The sequence below is a fragment of the Homo sapiens genome, chromosome 13 (assembly GCF_000001405.40).
Source record: "Homo sapiens chromosome 13, GRCh38.p14 Primary Assembly".
In the NCBI taxonomy this organism is placed as follows: Eukaryota; Metazoa; Chordata; class Mammalia; order Primates; family Hominidae; genus Homo; species Homo sapiens.
This window is the reverse complement of record NC_000013.11, coordinates 113,122,411-113,149,560: the sequence shown is the minus strand read 5'-3', so window position 1 is coordinate 113,149,560 and position 27,150 is coordinate 113,122,411. Positions and strand designations below refer to the sequence as shown.

At 48.6% G+C, this 27,150-nt stretch overlaps 1 protein-coding gene, 2 long non-coding RNA genes and 1 pseudogene across 5 annotated transcripts, besides 3 other annotated features; 2 read left to right on the top strand and 2 right to left on the bottom strand.

Annotated features, from left to right (window-relative positions):
* F10 (coagulation factor X) lies at positions 32-26,762 on the bottom strand. 3 transcript variants are annotated; one of them, NM_000504.4, is made up of 8 exons: positions 26,636-26,762; positions 19,949-20,109; positions 11,080-11,104; positions 10,091-10,204; positions 8,511-8,642; positions 5,466-5,710; positions 2,065-2,182; positions 32-645 (listed from the first exon to the last, which is right to left on the bottom strand). In NM_000504.4, the coding sequence occupies exons 1-8, from the start codon at positions 26,703-26,705 to the stop codon at positions 44-46; spliced, it is 1,467 nt and encodes a 488-aa protein (NP_000495.1). In that variant the 5' UTR covers positions 26,706-26,762; the 3' UTR covers positions 32-43. The 3 variants fall into 3 exon arrangements, with proteins under 3 accessions (NP_000495.1, NP_001299604.1, NP_001299603.1); NM_001312675.2 differs by having other exon boundaries at positions 2,075-2,182; NM_001312674.2 differs by lacking the exon at positions 8,511-8,642.
* Positions 5,550-6,395: an enhancer, noted in NCBI's record as "H3K27ac-H3K4me1 hESC enhancer chr13:113797480-113798325 (GRCh37/hg19 assembly coordinates)". NCBI's record gives its function as "activates a minimal SCP1, AML or CMV promoter by ChIP-STARR-seq in naive H9 embryonic stem cells {active_cell/tissue: H9 hESC(naive)}" and the evidence as "EXISTENCE:reporter gene assay evidence [ECO:0000049][PMID:30033119]".
* Positions 10,204-11,993, top strand: LOC124903215 (uncharacterized). The gene is made up of 2 exons (XR_007063879.1): positions 10,204-10,500; positions 11,680-11,993. It is a non-coding gene; the product is annotated as an uncharacterized LOC124903215 (long non-coding RNA).
* On the bottom strand, positions 17,521-19,139 carry KARS1P2 (lysyl-tRNA synthetase 1 pseudogene 2; annotated as a pseudogene).
* Positions 18,884-19,610: an enhancer, noted in NCBI's record as "H3K27ac-H3K4me1 hESC enhancer chr13:113784265-113784991 (GRCh37/hg19 assembly coordinates)". NCBI's record gives its function as "activates a minimal SCP1, AML or CMV promoter by ChIP-STARR-seq in naive H9 embryonic stem cells {active_cell/tissue: H9 hESC(naive)}" and the evidence as "EXISTENCE:reporter gene assay evidence [ECO:0000049][PMID:30033119]".
* On the top strand, positions 19,515-21,406 carry F10-AS1 (F10 antisense RNA 1). The gene is made up of 3 exons (NR_126424.1): positions 19,515-19,555; positions 20,684-20,826; positions 21,136-21,406. It is a non-coding gene; the product is annotated as a F10 antisense RNA 1 (long non-coding RNA).
* Positions 19,611-20,337: an enhancer, noted in NCBI's record as "H3K27ac-H3K4me1 hESC enhancer chr13:113783538-113784264 (GRCh37/hg19 assembly coordinates)". NCBI's record gives its function as "activates a minimal SCP1, AML or CMV promoter by ChIP-STARR-seq in naive H9 embryonic stem cells {active_cell/tissue: H9 hESC(naive)}" and the evidence as "EXISTENCE:reporter gene assay evidence [ECO:0000049][PMID:30033119]".

The following is a 27,150-nucleotide window of genomic DNA, read 5'->3' as shown; positions in this document are numbered from 1 at the left end:
GCAAGGCGGCAATCGAGAGACAAACCAGGCCTTGAGTGGGATCTCACTTTAATGGAGAGGACGTTATGACCTCCGGGGCATGGCTCTTGGCCTTGGGCAAGCCCCTGGTTTTCATGGACCTGTCGATCCACTTGAGGAAGGCGGTGACCTTGGTGTAGATCCCGTACTTCCCCTTACGGGCACAGCCCTCTCCCCAGCTGACGATGCCTGTCACGAAGTAGGTGTCCTTGAAGCGGGTGACGTGCGGGCCCCCGCTGTCCCCCTGGCAGGCATCCTCCTGCTTGGTGTCGTAGCCGGCACAGAACATGTTCTGGGTGATGATGAAGCTGCTGGACAGCTTGCAGCTGTTGCGGTCCACGTAGGGCACCTCCAGCATCTTGAGCCTGGTGGACTGCCGGCCCTTCTCGTGGGTGCGCCCGAAGCCGCTCACAATCCCCGTCTTCTGCGTCATCAGCGTGGACTCGGCCCAGTCACGCTCGGGGAGGCAGGCAGGCGCCACGTTCATGCGGAAGGTGATGGGGGTCTTGAGCCGGAGCACGGCGATGTCGAAGTCATAGGTCTCCTTTGTGAACCGGTTGTGCTTGATGACCACCTCCACCTCGTGCACCGCCTCACCGCCCTCCTCCTGCTCCGTGTTCCGGTCCCCTGGGACAGACGAGTGGGACTGTGCTCAGCTCAGCCAGGGACATGCTCTCGCACATCCGTTGCTTTTTAAGGAAGTTATATATATTTTTTTAAATTAAAAATGGCACGTGATCACTTTTGAAAATTTGAAAAATAGAGGGAAGTGCAAAGCAGCAAATAAAAGTGCCTGTCAGCCTTGCTGCCCAGGGAACCACTGGTCCTGTCTCACACGTTTGGTTCTTTAGACGGCCGCCACTCCTGTGTCCTTTGGCGGGTGCATCGTCTGTGCCAGTCGTGGGCACCAACGAGGCGTCCCAGGACCGAAGGCTTTTGGCATCCCAGACCCAGGTTGTGCGGTGTGGCCGCTGGCTGAGAGTGTAAAATAGTTGTGCCATGAACGTAAAATAGAGACTTAGCATGAAAGAAAATGTGCGGAATGTGTTATTACACCTTTAACATGATTACACATGGAAAAAGTAATATTTTCAATATGTTGAGTTAAATAAGATATATTATGGAAATTGTGTGTGTGTGTGTATATATATGTATATATATATACACATATATATATACATATATATATATATATATTTTTTTTTTTTTTTTGAGACAGAGTTTTGCTCTGTTGCCCGGGCTGGAGTGCAATGGCACAATCTCAGCTCACTGCAACCTCCACCTCCCGGGTTCAAGTGGTTCTCCTGCCTCAGCTTCCCAAGTAGCTGGGATTACAGGCCCGTGCCACCATGCCCGGCTAATTTTTGTATTTTTTAGTAGAGATGGGGTTTCGCCATGCTGGCCAGGCTGATCTCAAACTCCTGACCTCAGGTGATCTGCCCGCCTCAGCCTCCCAAAGTGCTGGGATTACAGGCATGAGCCACCACACCCAGCCTGTTTTTTTATATTTTAAAATGTATAATAGAACATTTAATGTTAGAAAAATATCAGTTTACATATATTGCTTGCATTTGTAGCTTGTGTTGGGTTTGTACTGAGCAGCTCTAGGGTCTAGTGGACAAAGACAGATGTTAATGAAACAATCCCACAAATAAAAATAGAAGAGACAGAGGTGCTTGGTGTTCAGAGTATGTTAAAGAGAAAGGGAGGTCTGGAAGGCTCCCAATAAAAGACACTGAGACACAGAACATTAGCTGGACATGCAGACCCAGAGACCCGGGACCCAGAGACTCGGAGACCCGAGACCTGGACACCCAGTGGGAGAAGGGCTGGGCTGGTTCGCCTCCCCTCCCCGTCCTCCTCCCCACTCTTCCCCTTCCTCTGCTTCCTCATCTTCTTCCTCTGTGAAATGCCCCTAACCCCTACAAATAGGATTTCAGGATTTCAACCAGTGTTCCCAACAAATTCCATCAGCTTTAGTGGTTTCTGAAAAGCAGACAGTGACGGTGCCCCTCACCACGGCCCTGGGGGCTGTTGGTCACTTACCTACCCTCACCTTGAATCTCTTGGCTTGGTAGAGACAGTGGGCTGCCGTTAGGATGTAGAACTCGCTCAGAATGGTTCCACCACAGAAACCCTCGTTTTCCTCATTGATGAGCAGGGCCTGTGACAGACGTGACAGGCTCAGTGTGGCTGGCCAGGTGGACAGGTGTTGCCTGACTGAGAAGCCAGCTCTTCAGGTGGCACTGCCCGGCCCTCCCCATGCCAAGCTGTCCTCTTCGGTCTCCTGCCATCCACCCAAGGACAGTTCCTTGTCTGTCTCTTTTCTCTGCCTGTGCCACACACTCACTGATATAGGGAGTCATCTCTTCTTTCTACCAACTCCATCACAGAGCTCTCTAAAGTCTCATGCACACGACACATCTGTCCATGCTTTGGAAAAGATGCTCCCTGTGGGAGCAGCCTTTCCCGTCTCTGTGGCAGGATTTCTACCTGGGACCAGGAGACGCCAGTCTGTGCAGAAACATCATCTGCCTCAACCGGTGTGCCTGCCTGGTGTCCCGACGGTTCAGCAGTGTGAGCCTGTCCCCCATGGTGCACGGACACCTCCATCCCAGGTGACTTCCTGGGGGTCCCTGTGGCAGCTCCTGTGAAGGGTCTCCTACCTGCCAGGACTTGGAACACGGTCCCAGGGGAGCAAGCACTGACAGGGGTGCCACATGCTGTCCCTAGGGAGCTGGACTTGCAAGTTTGGAGCCCGGGCATATTTTGGTTTTCTTTTCTCTGGGGAGTTTCCCGTCCTGTGATAGTGGCTGGGCACATGTACAGACCAATGAAACTACTGACAATACCGAGTCTTAAAACATTTCTTAAAACATTCATGGCTAGAAAAGGGGTCATGTTTTTGCCTCTTTTTTGCATAATTTGTCAACTCATCATCCAGCTTACATGAGGGAAAGTCAGGCTTTCTAAGACACGAACACCAACCATTCTTCCTAAAGATGCAGATGAGGCCCACTTGCCAAGACTCGAACCAGGAAACAAGAATCGCAAACCTCAACAGGCTGGGCGAGGGCCCCTCCAGTGAGCCCTCCAGGGCGCCCCACCCTGGTCCCCCAGCCCAGGAACCCCTCCAAAACCCCGCCTGCAGCTCCAAGTCCAGCTCCTCAGCCCCACAAGAGGCTTTTCCTGCTCATCCTCGGTGGGGTCTCCTGCATCGAGGTTCTTGCCCCAACCACACAGTGCCTGGGACTGGGAGGATTTCGGTCTCAGCTCCCTAACTAGGTTGAGATTTCTGTGTATTGGTCACAGAGAGGCTTCATGGTTTCATATCCCACCTACACAGCACCCGGCTCAGTGCCTGACACACAGAAGGCCCTCAACAAACATGCATTGCAGAGCCACCTCAGTGCATCCCTCTCTCGCTTGGCTCTTTATAGTTAGACAGAGGCTCACCCGCCACACGGTCTGGGGTGGGGGAAGACCTGGGGGAATTCATGGGGGCGCTGGCAGCTCTGAGATTCTTGCTTGTAGGAGAGGACATTCTGGTTTTGGGCGCTGAAAATTCAAGTCCAAGTGAGGATTGCCAGAGAAAATACAGGATGCCCAGCAACAAGGTTTGGCTGTGTCCCCACCCAAATCTCATCTCAAACTGTAGCTCCCATATTTCCCGTGTGTTGTGGGAGGGACCTGGTGGGAGGTAACTGAATCGTGAGGGCGGTTTCCCCATGCTGTTCTGGTGGAAGTGAATAAGTCTCACAAGAGCTGATGGTTTTCTAAGGGGAAACCCCTTTTGCTTGTTCTCTCATTCTCTGTCTTGCTGCCGCCATGTAAGACGTGCCTTGCGCCTTCCACCGTGACGGTGAGGCCTCCCCAGCCACGTGGAACTGTGAGTTCATTCAACCTCTTTTTCTTTATAAATTACCCAGTCTCGGGTATGTATGTGTCAGCAGTGTGAAAACTGACTAATACACCTAGTTTGACTTGAATCAGATAAACAGCAAATAATTTTTCGCATATGTATGCTTCATGCGATACTTGGAACATACTTACACTGAAAGTATTTCTAGTTTATGTGAAATTGAAATTTAATTGAAAGTATTGTGCTTTTGTTTAATGTATTTCTAGTTTATGTGAAATTGAAATTTAATTGAAAGTATTGTGCTTTTATTTGTTTAATCTGGCAGCATTAGTCCAAATCAACAATCAAAGATTAGGACCTGGTATAGTGGCTCACACCTGTAACTCCAGCACTTTGGGTGGCTGAGGAGGGTGGATCACATGAGGCCTGGAGTTTGAGACCAGCCTGGCCAACATGGTGAAATTCCTGTCTCTATTAAAAATAAAAAAATTAGCCAGGCATGGCCGGGCACATTGTCTCACGCCTGTAATCCCAGCACTTTGGGAGGCTGAGGTGGGCAGATCACCAGGTCAGGAGATGGAGACCATCCTGGCTAACACGGTGAAACCCCGTCTCTACTAAAAATACAAAAAAAATTAGCTGGGCGTGGTGGCAGGCGCCTGTAGTCCCAGCTACTCGGGAGGCTGAAGCAGGAGAATGACATGAACCTGGGAGGTGGAGGTTGCAGTGAGCCGAGATCGCGCCACTGCACTCCAGCCTGGGCGACAGAGTGAGACTCCGTCTCAAAAAAAAAAAAAAATTAGCCAGGCGTAAGTAGCGGGCGCCCGTAATTCCAGCTACTTGGGAGTCTGAGGCATGAGAATCGCTTGAACCCAGGAGGTGGAGGTTGCAGTGAGCCGAGATCGCGACACTGCACTCCAGCCTGGGCAACAGAGCAAGGTACTGTCTCTTAACAAAAAAGCCTCAAAGAGTGATTTTCTTTTTTACCTTTGAAAATAAGTAGATGTGTTTTTCTCTAAGGTACTATCTACCTCCATAGGATTTAGGTGTTTGGGTAAAAAAATTCCAAAATTAGAAATGAAGCGAGGACACCAACTCTTTCTGCCTCCCGTCAAACAGAAGAGCAGATGGAGGCCTTGCCCACCCGGCACCGTCCTCCTGCCCGCTGATGCCCCTGCAGTGTGGGTGGCTCCCTGGCTTTAGCCTTGTCTCCTGGTGTAGGGGAGGTTTGAGGACACTTGAGCGTGTGGCTGCGCCTTCTCCCTCTCTTCTGTTTCACAGGACAGCATCGTCCTGGGCATGCCACGGGCAGCCATGGAAATGCCCAGTGGGAAGGGGCTGAGGGGGGCGTTGCCTGGGCCCAGCCTCTCCCTCAGCCCCGGCCACTTCCCTGTGGAGCTCACAGCCTCCTTGGCTGCCCGGAGGGAGGGGACAGGCAGGCAGGCTTGGGTGGCGGAGCCCCTCTGTCCTAGTTCGGAACAGTTCCTTCCCGGATTGCTATTCCAAGTGTCAGGCTGGCCTCCCCGAGGTGCACAGCGGGACAGGTGGTCTCTCCAGCAGGCCCGAGGGGACATCCTACTGTTACCTGCCAGGGACACTCCCCGTCCTTGCATTCCTGGCCTCCCACGATCCTGGTGAGGTTGTTGTCGCCCCTCTCAGGCTGCGTCTGGTTGAAGTCAAGCAGGTCGAAGGGGTTCTCGGTGGGGTCCAGGTCGGCTGCATCATATGGCTTCCATGTGATGCTGTCAGGGGCCTCCCCGCTGCTGCTGGTGGCCTGGGCCACTGACCTCTTCCTGCGTTCCAGGGTCTGTTTCCCACAGGGGTAGGGCCCTGAAAGAAAGAGGACGGCCGGGGCCTTCAGCACAGAGAGAGGCTCCCCATAGCCTGCACAGCTCACCCTGAGGGAGAAGAGTCAGAGAGCCGGGAGGCAGAGCGCAGGGGCACCCGGAGGGGCAGCGGGCTTGCAGGGCGAGGCCCCACGTCGTCGGCAGGGGTCGGATCTGCAGGTGAGCGCAGCTGTCCGAGCGTTGGCCTCCCCTCAGGTGACCGCCTGTGAACAATGGACGCCAGGCAGCAACCCAGGCAGCGAGGGGAGTGTTGGCGTCTGCGGTTTGCCTGAAAATGCACCAAGAAGTCAAGAAAGCTTGACGGATGGACAGAGACAAACGGGCCGGGCGAAATGGGATGAATGCATCTGGCCGGAGGATGCCAACAGGAGAACCCAAGTGCTGGGCGTGTGCGACTCCCTGCAAAATTCTTTCCAGTGTGCTGTGTGTTGGAAAACTTTTCCTAATGAAACATTGAAGAAAAAAAAGTTTTCAGGCAGAAGGAATGGCGCACGCAAACAACTGGAGGCACAGGAGAGCGTCTGGAATAGCACAGCTCCCAGAGAGGCCACGCCGAGATGTTAGGAAGCTTCCTTTTGTATAACGGCCAATTAGGGCACCAAGGCCAAGAGAATGGCTGAAACATGTTGGAGGAAGGCAGGGGTGTGGGGGAGCAGGAGAGGAGAGGAGGGGGGAATGGATGGCAAGGGGCTTCTCTGTGGCCACACGTGTCTGGGGTCAGATGGGCACAGCTTAGCTGTTTACTTGCTGTGCTCCTGCGCAGTCTGAGGAGGCTCCGGTGAATCTGCCAGCCGCAGGGGCCTCCACCCCGCCGTGCCTCAGCTCTGTCCATGTGTGCAGTCACCACCCTTCCAAGTTCTGAGTTCATCCATTATTTGGAACTGAACTTTTTTTTTTTTTTGAGATGGAGTTTCTCTCTTGTCTCCCAGGCTGGAGTGCAATGGCATGATCTTGGCTCATTGCAACCTCCACCTCCTGGGTTCAGGCGATTCTCCTGCCTCAGCCTCCCGAGTAGCTGGGATTACAGGCGTGCGCCACCACGCCCAGCTAAGTTTTTGTATTTTTTTTTTTATAGAGACAGGGTTTCACCATGTTGGCCAGGCTGGTCTTGAACTCCTGACCTCAGGTGATCCACCCACCTTGGCTTCCCAAAGTGCTGGGATTACAGGCGTGAGCCACCTTGCCCAGCCTGAACTTTTTGCACTACAAAGTAGATTATGTAATTTTATTTTCACACATCACATTTGCCTTTTGATTTTTTTTTTTTTTTTTTTTTTGAGACAGAGTCTCATTCTGTTGCCCAGGCTGGAGCGCAGTGGCGCAATCTCGGCTCAGTGCTCAGTGCAAGCTCCGCCTTCCAGGTTCACGCCATTCTCTTGCCTCAGCCTCCTGAGCAGCTGGGACTACAGGCGTGCACCACCATGCCCAGCTAATTTTTTTTTTTTTTTGTATTTTTACTAGAGACGGGGTTTCACTGTGTTGGCCAGGATGGTCTCGATCTCCTGACCTCATGATCCGCCCGCCTTGGCCTCCCAAAATGCTGGGATTACAGGCATGAGCTACTGCACCCGGCCCACACTTGGTTTTAAATGGATTTGTGATTGTTTCTAGAATTAAAAAATATTCGTGTGTATGTCAAGAAATGACTTCAGTTAAAATATTTTTTAACCAGCTTAAGCTTGAATGTCATTGCCAGTAGCAAGGTCAGCCACAGTGTCTTTCACTTGCTGAGATGTTTCAGGCACATAATTGAAGCAGCGCTTGAAGGATGCATATGGAACCCGGTCTTTTCGTGATCACTCATCTTTGGAAGTAAATTGTTTTCGGTAAGAAGGATATGAAAGGAAGAGTGACAGAACACTCGGGAGTAACCTGTGTCTGGAGGGGACAGTCATGGTAGCCGGGGGCAGAACACGGTCTGGGGGCTGAGCCGCACCTGAAGCCGGAAGGTGAGCTGGGTCACCAGGCTCTTGAAAAGGCGGGCCTGGAACTCTGCCCTTCGAATATGCCCCCGGGTGAGGCCAACGCTGCGGGTCGGGCCAGCTATGAGTGGGAGTGGGGTTGCTGTGCAAGGTGCAGCTGTGACGCCTAGGCCCCGCCTTCGAGGGCCTCATGTGTGCTGGCCGTGTGGAAGTGCCGGCAGCCAGGCAAGCCCAGCGTAGGCAATGCCCACGGGGTCAGGACAGGGAGGCTCGTCCCCACCCTGCCCAGTCCCCTGCCTGTCCTGTGCTCACTGCCCTCTGGCCGCCTGTTGTCCACATTCATCAAGGAAAAGAAAAACTACGTTCAATGAACACTGGTCCTGGTAAAAGGAGCTCAGAGCCTGAGCGTCCCCTGACTCCTATCCCAGCCCCGCACCTTAGCTCCAGTTCCTCGGGCCAGCTCTGCCCTTTGCCTGCCCTGGTGCTTTGAGCCCTTGCACTGGATCCCCCCACAGTCCCAATGCAGACTGAGGGCCTGCGGTGGGCCAGGCATCATGCAAAGTGCTCCAGGGATCACCCAAGCAGTCAGGCAATAGTGTTGGTCCCATTTGTCAGATGGGGAAGCTGAGGTTAAACAGCAGATCTGGCTTACAGAAATAATGGGTCTGTTTCCAAACCTCATGGTCTTCATGTTTGAACCACCTGGGCCCGGAGCCCAGGGCTCAGTCCTGTCCTCTTGGTGTCACTGTTACCTGCCAGGCCCGCCCAGAACATGCCTGTGTCCCCACCCCCTGGCACGGGCTTGTCCTCCCTGGCCCGGCCCAGCGGCAGCGGGTGGCTGTGGCCCAACGTGCCTCCTACCTGTGGGAATGCAGGCCTTGCCGTTGTCAGCCAGGGTGTACCCGCGGGCGCAGGAGCACACCACAGAGTTCTGTTCCTCGTGGCAGAACTGGTCACAGTCCCCGTTGTCCAGGCTGCAGAGCTTCCGTGTGACTGCAAAGGAGAGGCACGTTGGCTCTGGGGACAGCTGGAGAAATGGAGGCTGGGCTGGCCCAAGGGTGCCAGCTACATCCACTTGCCTGTCAGCCACAAAGCGGCCATTGGGTTGAGCAAAGGGCCAGAGCCAGGCGACAGGTACACTTGCCTTGAAGGGCAACCTCACGGGTCACGGGGAGCTCATGGTGCAGTGCCCGGTGTAGCCAGAAGCCAGGCTCCAGGTACCTGCCCCTCACACCTCCGGGATGGCCGGTACCCCCTGCCCCAGCAGCACTCACATTACGGTCACTCCACATCCCTCTGTGTGGCTTTTGATGAAAAAGTAATCACAGTGCAAAGATCAACATGCCTGAAATTTTAGAAAATGTGCATAATAGCCCTGGGAGCCTGAACAGGGTTATGCCTCATAAGTTACCAAATGGTGTTCCAGGGAGGCGACTGCGGACTTGGAATGGAATGATGCGTAATTGATATTCTCATCAGGGAAAACTCAAAAGTAATCCAATCTAAGAACACAGTCTAAAGATGATCAATTAGGCCGGCGCTGTGCCTCACGCCTGTAATCCCAGCACTTTGGGAGGTCGAAGCGGGCGGATCACCAGGTCAGGAGATCGAGACCATCCTGGCTAACACGGTGAAACCCCGTCTCCACTAAAAAATTAAAAAAAAAAAAAATTAGCCGGGACTGGTGGCCGGGGCCTATAGTCCCAGCTACTTGGGAGGCTGAGGCAGGAGAATGGCGTGAACCTGGCAGGCGGAGCTTGCGGTGAGCTGAGATCGTGCCACTGCACTCTAGCCTGGGCCACAGAGCGAGACTCCATCTCAAAAAAAAAAAAAAAAAAGATGATCAATTAAGTACTTTAAAAGAAATGCAAATCTTTTTCCTTAGGGAAATTGATCTAACAGTAGCCTAACTTTTTATTTAAAACTTAATCACCACATTAGAGAAAGCACTTAGTGATTTTTCCACGTAGAACTAATTAAATGTATCAAATTTTTATAATTGGCCAATCACAAATATTCACAAATATTGACACCTGCATCCATACACATAAATAAGAGGTGATTTAGAATCACTGCACAGGGTCACAAGGAGCAGGAATAACAGGGCAATGCACTTGGCCCCAAGGAAAACAGAGAGTCCACTCCTGTTTACACATGAATGGATCACACGCTTCATCAATGTTCTACAGTCTCTCTCGGAGGAGCAGAGAAGTGACTGTGTCTCTCTCATCATGCCCCCAAACCGAATCGTTTGGGGGACATATTGGGGCTTTTTTTTCTATTGCTATAGTGGCACAGTATAATAGGTATAATAGAGCCCAGACTTTGTAAATCAGAAATGACTTAAGATTGTTTCATTAGGCGTTTTCACTTCTTCCCCCGCCCACCTGCCACTCTTCAGGGGCATCTGATCTGAAGGTATACCAAGCAGAGGAACCTACATAATTCACAGTTTTTGCCTTCGAATCCTTCTAAACAGGTGCAGGTGTATTCCCCGAGGCCGTCTTTACATTTGCCCTGGTTCTGGCAAGGACTGGTCTCACACTGGTCGCCATCTGCAAAGAGAGGATTTCGAAACTGGAGTCTGCAAGCTGTTTCCGGCATCATGGAAACAGTTTTGCTGTGCTAACCTTGGCCCTGCCGTTCAGATAACTGGAAGAGTCTTCCGGTTTCTCTGTAAACAACTCCCCCTCTTTGGACTTTATTTGATCCACCCCCTTTTGTGGCCATGTGTACGTGATGCCTTTATCTAGGTGGATCACCGGCCCAGCTTTTTGATTTTTGCCGGTGTTTTGCAGTGTGTTTACAGTCAGAGGTGACCACAGGGACCAACTGGAAGGATGGAGGAAAGGTGAGAGCCTGATGCTCATTTCTGGGCTGGGCCTTGACGGGAGAGGAGGTTAGGGTTCCTCTTTCCAAATCATCCTGGGGCAAAAGGAGAAGGCAAACACTAACACGGGGCTTCCCATTTCTTGGAGGATTTACACAATCTCATTTAGAGATAGGCCCAGTTGTCATTTTGAGAAATGTGAATACTGTTACCAGGTAGTCATGACTGAGGCCACTTCAGATGCTATTAAGCATTAAATCAAGGTGGTTACCTTAGTCGGGAATCTAATCTTTCAGACTCTGTTTTTTGCTTTTACCGAATACACTTTTATTTAAGAAAAGTTATCATGGAATTTGGTATCCTCAAATGAGAATGAACTGATTTAAATATATATCTCTAACTCAATAACAAAACTAGGATTAGTATAAAATTACTCTAAAAACTCTTTTACAATAACTATTATGGAAACACCCTGAGGGAAAAAGTCTTAAATGAGTAAAATGAGAACAAAAGCAGAAAGGAAATTCAGGAACTATTTTCAAAATTCAAATATCCTGATGAACCCCTCTCACTGAAGGTTAAAACAGAAAAAATACTGACCTTTGTATTTATTCCAGAATTCATTCTAAAAGGAAAAAAGAAATTTAAAAATATATTAGGGAAAACAGAGACATTTTATACCAATAACAACCATAATTAAGTGACTCAAGCTGAATAGGATATTTTCCCCAATGGAAGTCACTTTTAGGAATGAATTGTTCTAGAACTATTCAATCTAAAGAGGAAAGCTATTCAGATCTTCTGCATCTGTGAAGATGTGGCTTCAGTCATCTTAAATGAACCATCTTTGTTGAATATTGAAAATATTTTCAAGTTAATTACCTAGAAACAGGTTGCACCAAGAATGGCTTGCTCTGTTTGCTACTCCCGAGCTGGTCAATGGATGGTTTTTAGTTGCTATGCCTGAGTTAACATTCAGACAAGGGTCACGTGCTTGTCAATAGTCATTACGTTAGCTGAAAAATATTCATTGCTGATTAGTTTAAAACAGGTCATCAAGAGCCTAGATTACGCTAAAAAATGTCCACAGGCTTATTGTTTTTTAACTCTCTACAGTTGGTTGAATAGTGCCCTCCCTGCTAATTCAGGTCCACCTGCAGCCTCAGAATAGAACCTTAATTGGAAATCGGGTCTTTGCAGATGTTAACTAAGCCAAGGCTGTAGAAGAGATCATGCTGGGTCAGTGTGGGCCCTAAATAAAGGAGAAAGTCCTTATAAGAGACAGAAAAAGTCACACAGAGGCACAGAGAGAGAAGGCCATGCGAAGATGAAAGCAGAGACAGGAGCGACGCGTCCGCAGCCCAAGGATGCCCATGATTGCCGGGTGCTCCTGGAAGCGAGCAGAGAGCCTGGGACAGAGACTCTCCCAGAGCCTCCAGAAGGAACCAACACTGCTGACACCCTAATTTCAGACTTGTCTCCAAAGCTGCGACAATAAATCCCTGTTATTTTAAGGCGTTTGTAGTGCTTTGTTATGGTTGCCCTAGGAAGCAAATACACTATCTTCTTACTTTTTTACTTTTAAAATTCTCACACAGCAAAACCAATGTTTTGGTGTACACTTCTATGAATTTCAACACATGGAGAGACTTCTGTAGCCACCAGCATCATCAGGATGCAGTACAGGTCCATCCTTCCCCCCCAAATACCCCATGCCATCTCCCCCACCTGCCAACCCTTGGCAAACCCTGTCCCACCACTAATCTATTCTTTATCACAATGATAACAACCTATTGAGCATGTCATGTAAATGAAAGTGTTTATTATAGGACCTTGTGAAACTAGCTTTTCATTCAATACAAAGCCTTTGAAATTCATGCAAGTTGTATCAATACTTTCTTACTTGTTGTTGCTGACAACTGTTATATTGTATGGGTACACCCAGCAAAAGACATTTATCTTACTTCCAGCTTTTGGCAATTAAGAATAGAGTTGCTGGCCAGGCGTGGTGCCTCACGCCTATAATCCCAGCACTTTGGGAGGCTGAGGCGGGTGGATCACTTGAGGTCAGGAGTTCGAGACCAGCCTGGCCAACATGGTGAAACCCCATCTCTACTAAAAGTACAAGAATTGGCCGGGCGCGGTGGCTCACGCCTGTAATCCCAGCACTTTGGGAGGCCGAGGCGGGCGGATCACGAGGTCAGGAGATCGAGACCATCCCAGCTAAAACGGTGAAACCCCGTCTCTACTAAAAATACAAAAAATTAGCCGGGCGTAGTGGCGGGCGCCTGTAGTCCCAGCTACTTGGGAGGCTGAGGCAGGAGAATGGCGTGAACCCGGGAGGCGGAGCTTGCAGTGAGCCGAGATCCCGCCACTGCACTCCAGCCTGGGCGACAGAGCGAGACTCCGTCTCAAAAAAAAAAAAAAAAAAAAAAAAAAAAAAAAAAAGTACAAGAATTAGCCTGCCATGGTGGCACACACCTGTAATCCCAGCTACTTGGGAGGCTGAGGCAGGAGAATCACTTGAACCTGAGAGGAGGAGGTTGTAGTGAGCCGAGATTGTGCCATTGCACCCCAGCCTGGGCAACGGGAAGACTCTGTCTCAAAAAATAAAAATTAAAAAAAAAAAAAAAGACTAGAGTTGCTATAGACATTTATGTACAGGATTTTATGTGGAAATAAGTTTTCATTTCTCTAGGGTAAATGCCCAGAAATGGGATTGCCGAGTCCTGTGGTAACCTTATATAACTTTATAAGAAACTGTCAAATTCCTTTTCAAAGTGGCCGTGCCATTTTGCATTCCCACGAGCAGTGTATCAAAGTTCTGCTTTCTCCGTGTCTTAACCAGCGCTGTTCTGTGTCAGTGTTTTTTACTCTATGAGTATATAGTCGTTCTTATTGTGGTTTTTATCTGCATTTCTGTAAGAGCTAATAATGTTGAGTATCTTCTCACATGTTTATTTTCTATCCATATATCCTCTTTGGCGAGTTGGCTGTTAAGGTCTTTTGTTTAACTGAGTGTTTATTTTCTTCTTCTGATCTGTTAAGATTTCTTTATATATTCCGAATATGATTCCTTTGTTGGATATGTGATTTGCAAATATTTTCTCTTAGTTTGTAGCTTGTATTTTCATCCTCTTAACAGTGTTTATTTCTGAAGTGCAAAAGGTTTTAATTTTGATAAAGTCCAATTTATGACTTTTTTCTTTTATTAATCATTCTTTTGGTGTCAATGTCTAAGAATTTTTGCCTAGCTCCATGTCATAAATTTTGTTGTATTTTCTCCTAAAAGTTTTATAGTTTTGTATTTTATGTTTGGATCTATTATCTATATTGTGTTAATTTTTGTATAATTGTGAAGTTTAGGTCAGGTTCATTTTTTTGCATATAAATATATAATTGTTCCAACACTGCTATGGTCTCAACATGCCCCCCATACATATGTTAAAATTTAATCGACAATGTAATAGTATTAAGGGTGAGATCTTTAGGAGGTGATTAGGCCATGAAGGCTCTGCCCTTGTGAATAGGATTAATGTCCTTATAAAAGAGGCTTCACACAGTGTTTGTCCCTTCTGTGCTTCTGCCTTCTGTCAGGTGAGGATACAGCCATGAGGCACCGTCTTGGAAGCAGAGACCAGGCCCTCATCAGGCCCCATATCTGCTGGTTTCTTGATCTTGGAGGACTTCCCAGCCTCCATAACTGTGAGCAATAACCTTATTCTGTTTATAATTTACCCAGTCTGATCTATTTTGTTATAGAAGCACAAACAGACTGAGACTAATATAATTTGTTGAAAAAGACAATTCTTTCTTTTCTTTTGTTTTTTTTTTTTTGGAGACAGAGTTTCGCTCTTGTTGCCCAGGCTGGAGTGCAATGGCTTGATCTTGGCTCACTGCAACCTTCACCTCCCAGGTTCAAGTGATTCTCCTGCCTCAGCCTCCCGAGTAGCTGGGATTACAGGCGCACACCACCACGCCCAGCTAATTTTTGTATTTTTTTAGTAGAGACGGGGTTTCACCATGTTGGCCAGGCTGGTCTCGAACTCCCGACCTTAGGTGATCCACCCACCTCGGTCTCCCAAAGTGCTGGGATTACAGGCATGAGCCACCGCGCCCGGCCGAAAATTGATATCTTAATATGTTGAGTCTTTCAATCCATGAACACTGTATGTGTCTCTATTTATTTAGGTCTGTTTAAATACTTTCATTGGAATTTTGTAGATTTTGGGATAAAGATCCTGTATATGTTTTATTAGCTTTACATATAAGTATATAATTTTCTTTGAAGCAATTGTAAATGGCATTTAAAAATTTTTGGCTTACAAATAACTGTGCATTGCTATTACATAAAAATGTGATTAACACATGTGCTGACCTTGTATTCTGTGACCTTGTTACACTCATTTGCAAATTTTAGGAGCATTGATATGGTTTGGCTCTGTCCCCACCCAAATCTCATCTTGAATTGTAGTTCCCATAATCCCCATGTGTAGTGAGAGGGACCAAGTGGGAGGTAACTGAATCGTGAGGGTGGTTCCTCCATGCTGTTCTCGTGGGAGTATGTTCTCATGAGATCTGATTTTTTTTAAGAGGATTCCCCTTTTGCTCGGCTCTCATTCTTCTCCCTCCTACAGCCATGTGAAGAAGAGCACGTTTGCTTCCTTTTCTGCCATGATTGTAAGTTTACTGAGGTCTCCTTAGACATGTAGAACTGAGTCAATTAAACCTTTTTTCCTTTATAAATTACCCAGTCTCGGGTAGTTCTTCACAGCAGCGTGAGAAGGGACTAAAACAAGCTTTTTTCCCCTTCACATTCTTTAGGATTTTCTATATGCATGATCATGTCATCTTCAAATAGTGATAACTTTATTTCTTTTTCTTGACTTACTGAAGGCCTTCCTTAGAGCTAGGACTTCCAGTATAATGTTGAATTAGGAGTGTTGGGAATGGACATTCTTGTGTTGTTCCAGTCTCAGGGAGAAAACCTTCAGTTTTCACCTTTAAGTATAATATCAACTGTAGACTCTTTGTAGATGAACTTTATTATGTTCATAAAATTCCCTCCTATTCATATTCTGCTGATAGGTTTTTTATAAAATCATAAATGGATGTTAAATTTTGCCAGATTTGTTTGTTGCATCAATTGACATGATTATGTGGATGTTCTCTTTTGTTTATATGGTGGATTACATAATTATTTTTAAATATTGAGCCAGTCATGTGTGCCCCAGAAAAACTCACTTGGTCATGGTGTATTATTACTCTTTTAAAAATATATTGCTGCACCGTTTGCTAATATTTTGTTGAGGATTTTTATGTCTAGATTCATGAGAGATATTGTTACGTAGGGTGGTTTTTGTTTTCAGTATTTGTCTGGTTTTGACATCAGGGTAATGCTGGCCTAAGACAAACTAAGAAGTGTTCCCTCTTCTATGTTCTGGAAGAGTTGTATAGAATTGGTGTTCTTTTTGAAATGTTTGGTAAAATTCTACCAGTGAAACCATCTGTACCTGAACATTACTTTTTCAGAAGGTTTTAAATTAAGAATTGAATTGGCAGGTATCTCTTTCACCTTGTGTATGTTTTGGTGGCTTGTGGTATTGAAGAATAGGCTCATTTCATCCAAGTTCAAATCTCATGCAAATTTATATATGCAGAGTTGTTCAAAGTATTTTCTTATTATACATTTAACATCTACAGTTTCTGTAGTGATGTCCCCTCTCTTCCATTTCCAACATAGGTCCTTTTTCTTGTTTTTGTTTGTTTGTTTTTATTCCTGTCAGTCTTGTTTGAGTTTCATCAGCTTATTAATTTTGTCTATTATTTTTGTTTTAAATTTCTTTGATTTCTGCTTTTTCAATTTCCTTTTGGTTTATTTTTTTCTTTTTTTCTAGTTTATTAAAGTGGAAGCTTACATAAACAATTTGAGACCGTCTTTCTTTTCCCATGTGAGCATTTAATGCTATAAATTTCCCTTGAAACACTGCTTTTTTAGCTGCATCCCACAGATTTTATGTTACATATTCATTTTTGTTCAGCTCAAAATACTTTCTTACTCCCCTTAAAATTTTCTCTTTGACTCACAGATTATTTATACATGTGTGACTTAATTTCCGAGTACTTAGGGAAGTTTCCAGTTATTTTTCTGTTAGTAATTTTTACTTTAATTCCATTATGGTCAGAAAACATACTTTATGTGAGTTCAATCTTTTTATTGAGGTATGCTTTAAGACACAGGATATAGTCTACCTTGAGGAATTTTCCATATGTGGAAGGAAAGTGTACTTTGCTATTGTTGAGAATCCTATAAATGTCCATTAGATTCAGGTCAAGTGATGTCTGGAAGACTGGAGGAAAAAATGATAAACTCACAGCCAGTTGTATCATATCATACATCTAATTGTAGTCTTATTCTGCAATACACTGCGATTTACTTTTTAGGGTCGTCAAATAGCTGCTACATGCATTCTATCCATGTTTTGGAGCTACACTCAGTGGGAGAGGCAGTGTGGAATGTGATTTCTTCATCTTATCTGGAATTGGAACTTGTTGATAACCTTTAATTCAGTCGTCTCTCTCTGGAGAAGCCACTCTTAGATGATAATCTAGAAGAAATGCATGCATATGTGTTTTCCTAATAGCAATATTTAGAAATAACTTATATGGCCAAACTCTGAAAAGAGTAAATGCATCATACAATAAAATATAGCTTAGCTATAGGGTAGCTATATATAAGTAAAGAAGAGTGTTTGAGAAACGATGCTGAGTGAAACATAAACTTGGATCAGCATTATTTACTTTTACTAAAGAAAAATTCTACCAGTGGAAAAAAATATATGTATATATAAGAAGTATTTGAAAATATTTCCGAAAATTCTAAATTTTTTCTGTTAGAGACAAGCCATTTATTTGCTAACAAGTAATAAAAAGGAATTCTTAATTTAATTAAGAATTAGAGTAGACCTTGATCTTTTGCAGAAATGCAAAGATATCTGAGTCACACAACTTAGACAATTAAAATTTTCTAGATAGACGTGTCAATGTTGCGCTTTCCATTGTATTAGTGGCTGCTACATTCTCTTTCTTCAAGTTTCATGCCAGGAGTCAGAAATATTTCCTTGATGTTGTGGGAGTCTGTGAGAAACATGGTAACACATTTGATTGTCACGCTCCAACCAGCTGTGGGCGGAAGCCCATATTCCAGGGTTGCATGGAAGCTTTCATCTATGAATGTGGCCTCATCATCTTTGCTGGCCTTGTCTTGTTTGTCAACAGCTGCTGCTGTTGCTGCATGGAAACATTCAGCTATCTTCATGACAAATAGCTCAAAGTGCTCAGTGAGACCCTCTTAGAGAGATCATTTGGTCAAAGAGCTCATTATCTGCAGGTGATAACAGATAAATGTGGGACTGATGTAAGTCACTTTCAGGAACTCCTTGACAAGTTTATCAAGGCGCCTGAATATGTTCTGAGGTAGAAGACTTTCAAAAGCTTTTGTTACATAGATATCACCAATAATTTTTTGAGTTTCTTCAGTTCCAAAGAGGTTAGTTTCTGGCAGCGTCACACCCAGCACTTTTTCAAGCTCTTCTACCACACTGATTCTCCAGAAGGGTGAGGAGAAGTCAACCCATAGGTTTGGCTTTCTGAGCCATCTGGATGGTGGGTGACCTTGTAACCACCTGTGATGTGCTTCATCCCTGACATAATCTTTTCTTGGATTTCAATGAGATCATGACAGTCTGCACAGACCATATAGGGTGGCAAATCAAATACATTCTCTTATTCCTTAACTGGCATCCAATTTCATAAATCCAGTCAATGCTACTAACCAGCATCTGAAGGTAGAGTCCTGGAGCAATTCTCAAATACAAGTTAATGTCCAGCTTGTTGTAGCAGGTGATGAAAGGCTTAGCCCCTGCTACCCGGGATGACGTTCATCATGAGGGTTTCAATGTCTAGAAATCTCAACTCATCCAAAAACCTTGTCATATATGTGGTGATCTTAGGGCAGATGATACACTGCTTTCTCAGAAAGTCACTCAGGATCAAATCCAAGTACTCAAATAATATTGGGTCTCCTTGCCTTTGAGGCTAAAGTAAGGATGGGGCAACATGTGAGCCAGGAGGCAGCAGTGCAATTTTGCAGGGGCTGATGCTGCGCTCGCCCTTCTTGGTGTTTCCTAGATTTTCCTGGACTCTGAGTACGTCTCCCTGAGGCAGTTTATTTATTGACTTATAATTCCTTGACCTGGCCATAACTTGTAACTTCACCCTGGTCCGCAGGGGTCATTAGAAGGTGAACTTTCCCCAGCTCTTTTGGCATGGATCTCCAGGGTGACATCAGTCAGGTGGTCCCAGGCTGCAGGTGACTGCACTCCGGGATGAAGCAAGCGAGTAATGTCCACATGGAAGCTGCAGGGGTCTTCCCCAGTAACCTTCGGCGGTGGCCTGCGCTGGGGGACCTGTAAGGGGCCTCAAAGTTTCCATTTGGGTCCACAGTTAGTGGTGTGGCTGATGGCACCAGCCGCGGCTGGCCTAGCTGTTGCTCACTGAGCTCCGGCTTGGCCCCCTTCTCGGCTACTTTCTTCTCTTCAGCTCATTCTTGTCAGTTCGGCATCACCACCGCCCACTTCCACTTCAGAGCCCTGTCCTGCAGGCACCTTTCCTGATGCCTGGGGTGAGGAAGTCGAGACCCCTCGGCCATTTCCAGGTTCGTTCGAAGCCCCGCCTCTTCGGGGGAGAGGAGGGTAGCGTCTTCCGCGCGGGGCTGCTGCGGCTGCGCAATCGCGGCCTGGTGGCATTGCTCTCCTCCTACTGCGCAGGCGCGATGCTGGGTTCGTCGTCCGGTGTGGATGCCGGTCTTCCTGCTGCGCAGGCACCGTGCTGGGTTCGCGGCCTGGCCTCAGTGCGTGTCCTTTTGCTGCGCAGGCGCAGTGCCGGGTTCGCCGCCCGGCCTCAGTGCTAGTGCTTCTGCTGTGCAGGAGCAGTACTGGGTTCGTGGCCTGGCGTCAGTTGTGCGCCTGCGCGCTGGCGCTCTAGGCTGTGGCTCTCAGCGACTACGGAGGCCAAGGCAGGACGCGGGCTGCGGGCGTGGGAGGGCACGATCTCAGCTCACTGCAACTCGGCGAGGCGCTGGCCGAGACCATGACTATTGGTTTTTAGGTTAACATTTTATTTTTAAATAGAACTTAACTCTGGCAGAAGCCCTGTGACCCTCAAGGGACTTGGGCGCATCCCTCCCCGCTGAGTCCTCGCCGGGAAGGAGTCAGCGCGGGGGCGGCACTGATGTCCCTGTGGGCAGGACTCCGCCGAGGCCTCGATTTGCTGGGCCCCGCCCCTGAAAGCCTTCGCGCACGCTGCCCCTTCCTCCAGGCCGCCCCCCTGGATGGACGGAGCAGCGGGGCCAGCGAGGGCGCTGTGGCCTGAGCTCCTTACCAACAGCCAGGCTATCCCCAGCCCTTACCGTCTTGTCGCTGTCCTCAAAGACCTCGCGGGCCTCTTCGTATGAGCAGGTCTCTTCCATGCACTCTCTTTCGAGGTGTCCTTTCTTCATCTCTTCAAGAAAGGAATTGGCCCTCGTGACCCTCGCCAGGATGTTGTTGGCCTGCTCCCTGCGGATGAACACTGGAAGGCAGGGAGGACAGGGTTAAAAGCTCTGGTCACCCTCACCCAGGCTCCCCCTCACCTATGCTCCCTGACTGCCATGTCCCTTGCCATATCCAGATCACAAAAGGCGGATCACTCTCTTGTAAACCAAAAATAAAATTCTAAGCCCCCAACTCACTGAGTGGACCCGTCCTCTCTGCCAAGGGAATTCCATAGGAACCTGAAAGACTAGTTGAGGCCATGAGGGGAAGCAGGTCCCACACGCCTCATTATTTCTTCCTTTGGAATTCGGGCACAGCTGACCAGCATTCACGTTAAGAGACCTTGAGGCTGACCAAACAGAGTCTTTGTAGCAATAAGATACCAGTTTCCAACCTGACTTCTCTAGTATAGGATCACATGACATATAGCAGGCCCTAAAATAAATGATTTTACTCCAAATTGTATTTGTTTGACATATTTTGAAATGGCCCTGCAAAGCTATCTCAGGGAAATCCACATTCTGTAGAGAACCCCCTTACCATTCCAGGTCTTTTTCTGAGCTGAGAGTCTAGCACCTTTTTTTTTTTTTTTTTTTTTTTTTCTCTTTAAGATGGTGTTTTGCTCTGTCATCCAGGCTGGAGTGCAATGGCACAATCTCAGCTCACTGCAACATCTGCCTCCCAGGTTCAAGCCATTGTCCTGCCTCAGGAGGAGATTCTACTGTCTCAGCCTCCCGAGTAGCTGAAACTACAGGCAAGCACCACCACACCCGGCTAATTTTTGTATTTTTAGTAGAGATGGAGTTTCACCATGTTGGCCAGGCTGGTCTTGAACTCCTGACCTTAAGTGATCCACCTGCCTCAGCCTCCCAAAGTGCTGGGATTACAGGATGAGCCAAGGCGCCTGGCCATGTGTGTAGCACCTTTTAAAGGTCTGAAGAGGAAACAGTTGCCATCTATTCCCTCTAAGGGTGGCCACCTATGAGTCTTCATCTACATAACAAGAACCTTGGTCTCCACAACCTCTTATCTTAACCCAGATACTCCTTTCCATTTATTCCAGGTCTTTAGATAATAACTCTTTCAACTGATTGCCAATCAGAATATCTTTGAAGCCACCTATGACCTGGAAGCCCCCACCTTCCCCTTTTCTGGAACGAACCAGTGTACAACTTATGCTTATTGATTGGTGTCTGTATGTAACTTCTGTCCCCCTAAAATACATAAAATCAAGCTGTGACCCAACTACCTTGGACACATGTTCTCAGGACCTTCCAAGGCTGTGTCATGGGTCGTGGTCCTCACATTTGGCTCAGAATAAATCTCTTCAAATATTTTACAGAGTTTGGCTTCTTTATCAACACTTTCCTCAGGCACTTTGGGGGCTGTGGAGGGAAATGCCCATTTCCCCCCTCCCCCCAGTTCTCTATGAGGTACAGCATGAGGCACCTGCTCTAGACCCATGCACCCTTCTCTGGAGAAGTAGACACATCCCACCCAATCAGCTCACCAGCCTCCTCACATGCTCACGCTGGCTCAGCCTGGCCACCCAAGCCCCCTTCCTTGAATTCTCCCTCCCTAGGGTGCTTTCAGCCCACTGTTCTGTGCTTTGGCTCAAGCTGTGCCCCTTCAGCCTGGCCCCACTCGTCTTTAAGGTCTCTGCTCTTTGTTATGTGGGGATTGGTGATGCTGTTTCAATTACAAACTATAATAGTACAATTTATGAAGTGCCAGGACACACATACATGCCAACTTTCAAGAAATAGTATTTATTAGTATTTCCTAAAATACAGTACTTAGTACAAAGTTTTCTATTTGATTCTACTCTTTTAAAAAAAAATACTGAGTTGATTTCATGACTGGCAAATGAGTCTTGATCTGCTGGTTAAAATGCCCTGGATCCGAGAGTCTGTGTCCCTTGTAGAGTGTGTGTCTGTGGGCTGTGCTGTCCACATCTCTCTGCCTGTGTCTCCTTTGTCTCTCACCCACTCCTCCTCCTCTTTTCATTTTGACAGCCTCAGTTTCTTTTCTTGGCCCTCTGTAGTCTTTTTCTGTGCTTTTTTTCCACTGAAAAATTCAATGTCTCACTACAATAAAGATAACTCTTCCAACTGATCTCTCTAGCACTGACTTTTGTCCTGAGCTCCATGTTTTCAGCTCTCTCACTATGACAGATGCCTTCCCTCATCTCAGAACTCCAAACTCTCCATGTCCAAAATTTAAAACAAGACTGCAGAATCAAGCAATCTTGAGCTTCAAAAACACCTTAGTCACTTATTATTTATTATTGGCAGAAGGGAATTATAATATCTACTCTTAGAGCTGTTTTAAAGATTGTATAAACTCCTAGTGTTGAGTTTGGTATACAGAAGGTGCTTAGTAAATCTTGGGTTCATTCCTACCTCCAGTTACTTTACCTTCCAAATTCCCCATTTCTTTTAGTGACACCGACATTATCCCACCAACGCTAGACTTAGATTTATTATTTCTTGACCCTGCCCCATTACTCTGCGTGTCTGCTCCACTCCCACACACTTGCTCTGAAATGCAGCCCACACGTGGCTCCCTGCAACCTGCAGCCTCATGTCACCTCCACTCCACAAAAGGCACTGAGGAAGCTGAGGGGTGGGGAATGCCCATCTCCCTTGGGGCCTCTGGCTCTCATGTTGGGATGACCACAGCCTCAGACAAGTTATCCAAGCCTGGCTTAGTGTTTCCCAAACTGGGACTCGCGGGCCTCCTGGGCTCCAGTTGGGGTCTGAAGACCGCGTTCTGCCTTGCCCTCGGTGTTCTGACGCACCTCCATGTGAACACCTCTCTTGGTACCTTCTCTCTTCCCCTTGGTCTCCTTCCTTGTGGCCAGATGGACATATGCCTGCTTTTTTCTCTGCTACCCTAGAGCCACAGTGATGGTTCACAGACTTGCCACAAGGATTGGTCCCCACTCAACTGGAGCCTGACGCCCTCACTGTCTCTGGTCGATCCCTTGCGCCTCCTCTGACCTCTTAGAGGAACTCGCTGTTCTGTGATAGCGGCCACAGCTCTGTTCCCCTTGGCATCCACCCCCGAGCATCCCCAGGCTGATTGACCAGTAAGAAGTCACCTTTCCTTTGCAGCCCCTGTCCAGTTCCCGCCTTTTCCCATCTCCCTGAAGCCTGCTCAGCTCTCCCCAGCTCATGGGGGTAGGACACGGCCTATAAGGTTGAGCTGGACTGTGTGAGGAAGAGGGTACAGGTGGCAGGCACGGGGTGGAAAGGGTGATGCAAGGAAGTCAAGGACTACCCAGAATCTGCCTCTAGTGGTCTTAGAACAGAGCCCAGGGTCTTCCCATGGCCAGGCCTCCCAGGCCTCACCACCTTCAACTCTGCCCTCATTCACCTCTCTCTGCCACACTGGGCTCTGCGCTGACCCTGGCTGAGCCCAACACTCACACCCCAGGACTTTTGCACCAGTCACCTCCCTGTCTGGAACATTCTTTCCACAGATACCCAAGTGGCTCAGGCCCAGCGCCCTCCGAGACACCCTCCCTGACCACGCCCTCTGACGTTGCCCCCACTCGTGTCTCTTTCATCCCCTTACACTGTGCTATTTGTCTTCTAGCACCCAACCCCTCTCTGACATTACATGCTGACAGGCTTATCCTTCCCTCCGCTGGAAAAAGACTTGACGTGTTTGGTCACAGCTGTATGCCCGTGCCTAGCACGGCCGGAACTTAACCAATATGTGTTGAGGGAATGAAGGAAAGATGGCGTGCCTGGCTCAGCCCTCTGGACTGAATCTGGGCGCTTCTGCTATCTGTTATGGCTGAGTCGCATCAACGCTTCAGTCAGACTGAGCAGGCCGGGTCTGGGCCACGTGGCCACACTTTCTGATGTGAGTAAAATGGGATTTTGGCAAAACGAAATTAAAACAAGGTTTTTAGGCACTTGTCTCAAGAAATTAATGGAACACTCTAGAACTCTGATATGGAGCATCCAGATTGGTAGACATTTGTCGTGTGGTTTGTTTCTTCAGAAGCTGTTGGGAGCATTGCAATCCTCGAGCACACAGTTGTGTTTGTTGTTTTGGCAACATCAGTGAATTCCACAGTCAGCAACTGCATTTGAGCAAGTTTTACCAGCAAGCAAAATTTTCAGTCAGTAAGGTCCAAACTCATGAAGAATGGGTTTAAACTTGTTGAATGTAAAGATTGAAACTGAAGCCACGTAGCTTTAATGATTGCCAGTACAACAGCAGTAGTTTAAAGGCTGGCACTGCAGGTGCTCTGCGTATTCTGATTTTATTAAAATAAAAAGTTGGATTGCAGAAAACACTCACAGGTGGCAGGACAGGGCTGAATAATGTCCCTCCAAATTCATGTCTTTCCCAGAACCTCAGAACCTGACCTTAATTGGAAATAGAACTTTTGTGATGTATTTAGTTAGGAAGACATTTTATGGGAGTAGAGTGAGCCCTAAATCCAATGACTGGTGTCCTTCTGAGAGAAAAGAAGACAGAAAAACAGCCATGGTGAGAACCCCATGCGATGATGGAGGCAGCGATGGGAGCAATGCTCCCACAAGCCATGGGCTGTGAGGCCGCTGGCACCCCGAGGCCAGGAAACAGGCCTAGAGCAGACTCTCTCCCAGCCTCTGGAGGAACCAGCCCCGCTGACGCCTTGATTTTGAACTTCCAGCCTCCAGAGCTGTGGGAGAAATGTTTCTGTTGCTTTAAGCTACTTGGTCCATTGTCCTTTCTTGTAGCAGTACCAGCAAAGGAATGCTGAGGTCCCACCGCCCCAGAAGAACTTCCGTGACTGCCAGGACAGCTGTGCTCGTTTAAAGGCTAGACTGCAGATGCTGTGCGCATTCTGATTTTATTAAAATCAAAAGTGTGCACAGCAGGGTCCTGAGTGGGACCTTCTGGGACCTGTGTTCAGCCCCACCCACCCCACAGTGCAGCTGCCGAGGCCTCTGAGGCAGAGTAGGGGAGAGAGATGGCCTGGCCCTGGCTCTCCGGGGCTGGCCATGTCCACCCAGGGTCCAGGCCGGCCCCCGGGGACACCACAGGCCATGGTTATGAGCCAGGCCCGCATCACACAGCTAAGGGTGCCAATACCCTGTGGACCCAGAGGTCCGCGAGGTGGGCGCCTGCATTTCCCATTGGCAGGAAGGGAAGCTGGCGCTCCACCAGGACTCTGCATAACTCCCCTAGTTTCCTCCTGTGGGTCTGGGTGGGCTCCTGGCCTGTCTTCTCATCCCCACCCTCTGCTTCTTCCCAGGAAGAGGAGTCCTGCCAACTTCCATTCCCAATAAGCCAGAGCAGCTTCCAGAGTCCCGGGCCGGGCTTAGGGCCTCGGGAGCCCCGGGCCGGGCTTAGGGCCTCAGGATCCTAGAGCATTCCGGCTGCAGAATTTTCTACCAATTCGCGGAAGCATCTGTCTGTTTGCAGAGTAGCTTTGCTGTCGATGATGATGGCATGGGTCCTTCCAGGGCCTTGTTCCACCCACGCTGATCTCATCCCACCACAAGCATCACAGTGGGCTCCTGCAGGGGGCAGTGTGGCCTGAGGGGGAGGAAGAAGGCTGGGCGAGTTGGAGCCACACAGTACCCCATGAAGACGGGAGTCCCGTTCCGCGTGGGAGACAGGAAGATGTGGCTCAGGGGACAGAGGCTGGGGAGGGCAGGGGGTTGAGGGTGGGATGGAGAAGACCCCCGTGTGATGTGACTGGAGCTCCAAGTCACCAGGCGGAGGGGCCGTTTAGGTCAGTGATGCACTGAGGATCCACTCAGCCTTCCCAGGGGTCTCCCCTTTCCACCCCACGAGGGTCTCCCCCTGCTCCGTCTCTCCCTCACACATTCCCTTCCCAGGCCTGGGTCCCCTTGGTGCCCCTGCCTGTCCACTTTGTCCAGGATGCAAACAAGTCTAGGGTCCCTGTCTCTCGTGTCCCCACCAGAGGGGCCTCCTCTTCCTCCGCTGTCCCCAGGCTTGCCTGGCTTCTGTCCTGTCTGGGCCTCTGCTTTTGGACAGACCCGGGGGTCCTGGACAGCCCTGCTGCCCCCACCTGTCCAGCTGTGCATTAGGCAGCTCCTTCCCCGACGGAGCCAGTCCGAGAGTGGTGGCACTGGCTCGGCTCAGCCTCCTCCTCCCTGGGAGCTCCTCTGCTGTGCCCCTCGTCCTGTGCCTCCCTGTGGTGGCAGATGGCTAACTGTCCTGTCTCTGCCTGCCCCAACCCCTCCCTCTCTCTCTGTCTCCGTCTTTCTACCTCTGTCTCTGCCTCTTGGCCTCCCATCTCACTGTGTCTCCGTTTCTCCTTCCCTCTCCCTTTCTCTCTCTGACTCTGTCCTTGTGTTTTTGTCTCTGTGACCTCTGATCCGCCCGTCTGACTCTCAGCCCCAGGGAGCCACAGCTGGCCTTGAGGATGCCGTTGGCTGGAAAGGCCAAGCCCAGCCATCCGAGCCCAGCCTCTGGCAGCACTCAAGGCACCCACCGTCCAGGCTGCAGAGATGAGAGGGTTTCCCCAACTGCCGCCCCTCCCTGCTCCCTGGCGCTGCTTTTGGGTCTGAAGGGCGAGGGGCACTTACGACTTTCCCCGAGCAGCAGGAGGCCAGCCAGGGAGGCACTGAGCAGGACGAGGTGCAGTGGGCGCCCCATGGTGTGGCCGAGTACTGTGTCCCTGTCCTCACTGGGACAGGCTGCTGGAGCAAAGTCCACGCCCCAGCTGGGATGGCTGTTGTCTGGCTGCTTATCACTTGGCTTAGGCCTCCTGATTGGAGCCGAGACCTGCTGGCGAGGCAGGGGAGTGACCACGCTGGGAACACATCCACTCTGGCCCCACCTTCCCCAGGCAGAGCTGGGCGGCCAGAGAGGCCCCGCAGAACCTCATCCTCATCAGTCACCAGGGCCGCGGGTGTGGGGACTTTCTGTTCTAAGAATAAAAACATCATTTCGTGCTCATTTTGTAGTTTCCAGATGTTTACATTTAACTCTCAGTCCTCACATACAAATATCATTTTCCCCATCATTTTTCCAGAAGAGAAAACTAAGTTTAGAGAGCGCAGAAGCCTGAGCCGAGGCCGCTGGCAGTGAGCGTGGGATC